General features: G+C 42.6%; 3 annotated features.

The window, feature by feature from the left end:
- Positions 291-790: an enhancer, noted in NCBI's record as "H3K4me1 hESC enhancer chr5:61532645-61533144 (GRCh37/hg19 assembly coordinates)". NCBI's record gives its function as "activates a minimal SCP1, AML or CMV promoter by ChIP-STARR-seq in naive H9 embryonic stem cells {active_cell/tissue: H9 hESC(naive)}" and the evidence as "EXISTENCE:reporter gene assay evidence [ECO:0000049][PMID:30033119]".
- Positions 791-1,292: an enhancer, noted in NCBI's record as "H3K4me1 hESC enhancer chr5:61532143-61532644 (GRCh37/hg19 assembly coordinates)". NCBI's record gives its function as "activates a minimal SCP1, AML or CMV promoter by ChIP-STARR-seq in naive H9 embryonic stem cells {active_cell/tissue: H9 hESC(naive)}" and the evidence as "EXISTENCE:reporter gene assay evidence [ECO:0000049][PMID:30033119]".
- Positions 1,038-1,237: an enhancer, noted in NCBI's record as "active region_22593". NCBI's record gives its function as "activates an Ori minimal core promoter by ATAC-STARR-seq in GM12878 lymphoblastoid cells {active_cell/tissue: GM12878}" and the evidence as "EXISTENCE:reporter gene assay evidence [ECO:0000049][PMID:35858748]".

Here is a 6,631-nt window from a genome sequence, read left to right as displayed (position 1 = left end):
GCTGGGATTACAGGCGTGAGCCACCGTGCCTGGCCTGTGATACATATTATTGCATTGAATCCCCAAGTAAGTTAGAGATTCTTAGTCTCTCTACAGTTAAGGAAACCAAGGCTCAGCAGGATCATACAGCAAGATTTCCCCTGACTGCATGGCTAGTAAGTGTTGAGGCTGAGATTCTAACTGAGGTCTATCTCATGGAAAACCCACGCTCACAGCCACTGTGCTGTGTGCTCTTCCTGTCTGGATGTGGTCCTTGTCAGGGTACCTCAGTGTTCTCAAGAGGCACCTCTGGCTTCTGAGATGTAGACAGAAACATCTAGGTATTAGGTTGGTGCAAAAGTAATTGCAGTTTTTGCCATTAAAAGTATGTTTAAGAATTAACATCCCGAATGAAAGGTACTTGAAGTTTAAGCCACTCTGATTACTAATACGATACATAGTGTAGTAGTAACGTATGCCTGAGACCCAGCCTAATATTCTTCTTTGAATTCACACTTAACACTCACTCACACAACCAATTTTATTGAAGCTCTCTTTGTGCAAGAAAGTCCACTTTGAAACTAGAGTTCTCCAGGGAAACAAAAGCCTCCTTAGAAACAATGTTGGAATCTGGATTGCTGTGGAAGAAACTTAAAAAGCTTGAGTCCCTTCCACTTCTATTCTTGGATGGGTTTTGGCTCCTAGCTGGTTCAGAAATTCTTTATCCTCATTTAGATTCTCTAAGGGAGTGGCTCATTCCAGCCCAGCGCAGCCTCATTCTGCCCATAGCAGGTTTCCACCCTGGCTCTGCTCCCCCGCAGGGCGAGCACCAGGAGGGGACAGCTGCTGGGCCCACTTTGCATAGGGGCATGTATGACCCAGGCAGGGCTGACTCTCTGCGGAAAAACCTCAGGGCTGCTTTCTGGCTTTAGTCATATTCGTTAGATGAAACTTGTGGGTGTTACTAAGACATTCTGCGCCCTGAAATTGGGAGTGGTTTTGAAAACTGGTCTCAACTATTAGATTCCGAACCACTAAGCTTCCACATTTACTGACAGTTATATGCAGCAAAGAAGTTTTTCTCATTGCCTGCTTTTCTATCCTTCTATGTGCAAACACTATGTATCTTATTAGTATTTAGAGTGGCTTAAACTTCAAGTACCTTTCATTAGGGATGTTAATTCTTAAATATACTTTTAATGGCAAAAACCGCAATTACTTTTGCACCAACCTAAAACCTAGATGTTTCTGTCTACATAGTCAGATAGTGAGTGGAGGCAGTGCAAGAGATGTCAGTTTTGCAGCTTGCTTTTCTTCAGTTCCTTGCATCAGATTCTGTTCTCTGTTCTGATTCTCTTTTCAGACACCTGTTTCTCCTCGTTTTCTAGTTTCTGGTAGTATTACCTCGGAATCTAGAACTAACCCCCGAGTGCTCCTTGGCTGAGAGCACTTCAATACCTAATGGATGATAACAGGATCTAACATGGAGTTGTGGGGAAATCATGGACACAGGATTTATTTATTTAATAAATATATTTATTGTCACTACATGGAGAGTACACCAACTCACCTCTGGATGAGTGGGGAAACTGCTGTTATGAGGTCATTTCCCCAAAATGACTCTTTTGTTATCATGTCAGGGTGGCTTTACTTCCACCATTAGTTGCTTCTTTTTTTTTTTTTTTTTTTTTTTTGAGATGGAATCTCGCTCTGTTGCTCAGACTGGAGTGCAGTTGCGTGATCTTGGCTCACTGCAACCTCCGCCTCCTGGGTTCAAGTGATTCTTGTGCCTTAGCCTCCCAAATAGCTGGGACTACAGGCATGCACCACCACGCCCGGCTAATTTTTGTATTTTTAGTAGAGACAGGGTTTCACCATGTTGGCCAGGCTGGCTGGTACTCGTGACCTTAAGGGATCTGCCTATCCTGGCTTCCCAAAGTGCTGGGATTACAGGTGTGAGCCACCGTGTTCAGCCTGCTTCCTTTTTTAAAACCAATTTTTTCCTATGCTGGTATTCAAGGAAATGTTACTAAGCATACAGTAAAAGGTGCTCAAAGTGCACATAAACCTGGGACATGTTGGAGTTAAACGAAACTAAATAGTTTTCTTAGCTGCAGGCTGCCCAGAGCCTGCAACATGCGAATGTGTGTCATAATTGTTCACAAAGGGCTCCATCATGTTAAGCATTTCCTAGTTATTTGACCATAGAACTTCTTTTTTCATAGTTAAGTCTATTAATAGCTCCTAGAACAGAGTTCCAACGATCATTGTGTGATGAACACTGAAGATCTTTTTCAAAAGCTTTGAAGGTTCTTGTCAAAAGTACATGCATTATCCAGGAGAGGAAATGCAATTGACCACCACTATCCCAGAATAAGTTGGCTGAAATTAGCTAGCTAATCTCACTTGGCAAGGCCTGAGCAACAGCTTCCTCTGTCTTGAGTTTGAATCCCTGTCTGTCATTTCTGTATGATCTATGCTAATTTTTGACCCCACTGGTCCTCTCTCTTGCCCTACAATTTATCCTCCCTAACTGACACGGATATGGTGGGCATCAGAGATAATGCTTTCCAGGCTCCAGCAAGAGCCACCCTTTCAGCCCCCCAGTCCCAACAACGAAACACTGTAAGAAGCTTTGTCTATGTCAGGCATTCTCTGGCTTACAAGGAGAAAAGATTTTCCTTCCTAACCTAACTGAACTTAATCCTGAACTTAATCCTGAAATCTTCTCATCGCTTTTTCACCTCTGAAAAATGTGACCTTAATCAAACATGACTGCTAAATATTGGACAGGGTGAGAGCCACAGGGAATCAAAAGGAAACATGCTGAAAGGTAGTGTGTATGTGTATTAAACTTTCCTGAGCAATTTCAAAGAGGTAGTAGTTGTGTGAAGGGTAGAATATTTGTACCATGATTTGGATTTGGTAGAAATCTTTTCAGTCAGCAGTGAAGGCAAACTGGTCATAGAAGTCCTACCCACCCTTCTATCTCAACCAACTTCGAAGGCATGGAGACAGGTAATTAAGACATCACCTGGGGCTCTACTTGTCAGATCCCCAAACGAACTTTCACAATTAAGTTCTTTAAGATCATTTGGGTATTATGCCTTATGTTTATTTAGCTCTTTAGAGTTTGTCAAATACTTTCACATATCTTATCCAAACTGATTTAAAAAATTATTTGTATTTTACTTTTTAAATTAAATTAATTAATTCATTTTGGCCTGGTAATGTCACAAAAAATTATTTTTAGAATGGTTTTAGGTTTACATAAAAATTGGCCTGAAAGTGAAGAGGATTCCCACTTACCTATACTTTCTTCTCCCTGCAGTTTCTTTTACTATTAATATCTGGCATTACTGAGGTATATTTGTTACAATTGATCAATCAGTATGGATACATTATTATTAAATGAAGTCCACAGTTTACATCAGGGCTCATCTTTGTGTTGTGCAGTCTGTGGGCCTTGACAGATGTAAAATGTCATGTATCCACCATTAGAATATCATAGAGAATAGTTTCACTGCCCTAAAAATATGATGTGTTCCACCTGTTCATCCTCGAGTCCCTGGCAATCATTGGTCTATTTCCTGTCTGTATAGTTTGCCTTTTCCAAAATGTCATGTAGTTGGCCAAATTGACTTTAATCTTCATGACAACTCTGTAGCTAGGCAAGTTTTATTATCTCATCATAGATGAAAGAAGTTCAGTAAGATGAAGTGACTGAGGACTCACAATCGAGGGTGCCCAAGCCAGGACTAGGACCAGCTAAAAGCATGAACACCAGCCGATCTCAGAAAGGGGTTAATTGCTGAAGACATAGACTATTAGCTTACAGGAGCCCTCTCAGCCCAAGCACTTTAATTTCTTAGTAGCTACAAGGAGGAAGATTGCACATCTTCAAAGGAAACTAGATGCATGATATTGGTGAGATGAGACTTGGAGGTGACTTCACAGATGACGGGTTTAATGCCCCATAATTATGAAGGAAGGTCAGTCTCTGCCAGTCTGACTCAGAGGGCTTACTGAGTCATCCTGTTTGTCCTCTCTGCTGCTATTTATGGGCTTCCCAGTTGCTGATATTTGTTGGTTAAATGCTCACACAACCAGTCTTGCCTAAAGCAGTATCATTTATAGGGTGTTGAGAATAAACAGGGTGACAGGTGTGGGATAGTCATTTTAAAGAATATTTAGTAGCTGATTCTTTTTTTAAAGCTCTCCATGCTTAAAATATAAATATTCTGAAAGAAAACAAAAGCCAAGACCCTTTTTGTAGAGAATTGGAGAATGCTAGGACTTTCTGGGAGTGCTGGCTTTTGCACAGGCATGGGTAAACATTAGTAAAGTTGTTGCTGAGAACAGCTCGGGACGGGAGGGGAATGAGAAGAGAAGATAGTGTGGAGACAATGAGAGAAAAGGACTGAAATGTAGTCACCTGAGCAACTTAAGATCCGTTTGTCATTAGAAAGAGACTAGAACAGCAACATCACCCTCATAAAGTGTAGTCATCTGGGCTGGGCACTGTGGCTCACATCTGTAATCCCAGCACTTTGGGGGGCCAAGGTGGGCAGATCATTAGGTCCGGAGTTCGAGACCAGCCTGGCCAACATGGTGAAACCCCGTCTCTACTAAAAATACAAAAATTAGCTGGGTGTGGTAGCACTCACCTATAATCCCAGCTACTTGGGAGGCTGAGGCAGGAGAAGCACTTGAACCCAGGAGTCAGAGGCTGCAGTGAGCCAAGATCATGCCACTGCACTCCAGCCTGGGTGACAGAGCAAGGCTCTGTCTCAAAAAATAAAAATAAAAATAGCGTAGTCATCTGAGTCCATGTAGTAGACTAATTGCTTACTCCAAAGGAGTGATTGAAGAAAGATTAATGAAGCGGCTATTTACAAAGGTGCAAGCAGGATTAGGGGGGCATTCTGGAGCCAGTAGCTGCAGAGAGCCATGACCATCCTCAGGCCTAAGGAGGCAAGGGAAGGGAGCACTTACTGGAACCTAGAGAGACTTATAGTTTAGCAGAGGCTGTCTGACTTAACTGGGCCCTTTGGTAGAGGAAAGCAGCCACTGCCAATCTACAGGGGGTGAGCTGGAGAATAAATAACACACTCTTTTCTTTCATCCTCTTAATTTCTGCTGATACTTTCCATTGGCCAAACCCTAAAATGAAACAGAGACCAAGGGAACCCATATGATGCAATAATCCACGAAGGTCAGCCTCCCAGGCCACTGGGTCAGCAGAGCAGAGGAGGGTGGAGAGGGCTCTGGAGGGCCACACACCAAAAACCTTCAGCTCCAAGGAAGAGGATCATGTTAATGCCCTAGGGATAGACAGTACCAGAAGACTGTGTTGAAATCTGCTTTCCTAAGTCTTTATTCATATTAAAGGCACTATTAATTAATTAAAATATTATAATGACATATATTGAGTGCGCAGCTTCAACTTTATATATCTCTTGGTGCCTGAAAATTCTGAAATGCCTGTTTTGGAAGTGTCCATCTCCCTCAAGTCCCTATGGAAAATCACTGCTAAGAGGCAAGACAAGGGTAGCTGTGTTAAAGTTGAATGTGTGTGGAAGGCTTAAAAAGCCATTGCATAGTTATAATAATAAAGAGGGGGTCACAGTTTGCACCTACACATATTAATATTTTCCCACTTTGTACTTAGATTTAGCTTAAGTTTATCCATTTTTTCATTCAACAAACACATACTATGCTCCTGCTTTGTGATTATAAAAGGATCTACAAAATCTGTCTCTGATAACCCTCCCTGACTCGTGGCCCCTGACCCCCAGCCACCACTGGCAGGACTGATGGTAGGTGGTGAGGCAAAGGAAAAGCCTCTCTGAGGCGGTGACATTTGAGCAGAGGAGGAAGGAGTCAGCCCTGCAGATCTTGGGGACGGGCTGAGGAAATAGCTTGCTTAAGGATCTGAGCTTTGCGTGAAGGCGGAAGGTGCTAGGGGAGGCAATGATACGGCGGTCCGAGGCCTATTCATGGAGGGTCTTCCAGGCCACAGTAAGACATTTGGATTTTATTCCGAGGGTGATGTAAATAGAAGGTTCTGAGCAGGAAAGTGAGATGACAGAATTTATCTTTCTAAAAGATCACTCCAGCTACTATGTGGAGATTGATTCCAGGGAAATGGAAGCAAGGGAACTGATTAGGAAGCGATTTCAGTGGCTGTGACAAGGGATGACGGTGGTCAGTAGAGGTGCTGAAAAGTGGTTGGGCGTGGATACACTCTATGTAGATATTCTTATTGTCCTTTTAGTTAAAGATGACAATTTTCTAAAGGAAGATTTTCTTTTGTGGATGGGGTTGAGGGAACTCACACCAGTTAAAATGAATCGAATTGCTGTTGTCTAACTTAGCTTGCCTCAAATTCACTCAGGAGACTTATTTAAAAAGGAAGATTTCCCAGAGAGATTTATTTAAGGGAAAGCAGAATTGGCATTCTTCTTTGGACCTAGAGAACCTTGACAAGCTGTTGCCAGGACACGCAAGTGGGATGGTGTCTCTTGTGCAACTGATAAGAGGAAGTGACCCTTGGATTGAAGGAAGTAGAAAGATTAAATCAGAAAGAATCAAGGTTCAGAGTCTGCAAAGCCACAAGCCCTCTGTATGGGCCAGCAAGCCCCTGGGCCTG

The sequence above is a fragment of the Homo sapiens genome, chromosome 5 (genome assembly GCF_000001405.40).
Source record: "Homo sapiens chromosome 5, GRCh38.p14 Primary Assembly".
Classification (NCBI taxonomy): Eukaryota; Metazoa; Chordata; class Mammalia; order Primates; family Hominidae; genus Homo; species Homo sapiens.
Note: the sequence above shows the minus strand (reverse complement) of the source record. Positions and strands in the feature narration are given on the sequence as shown.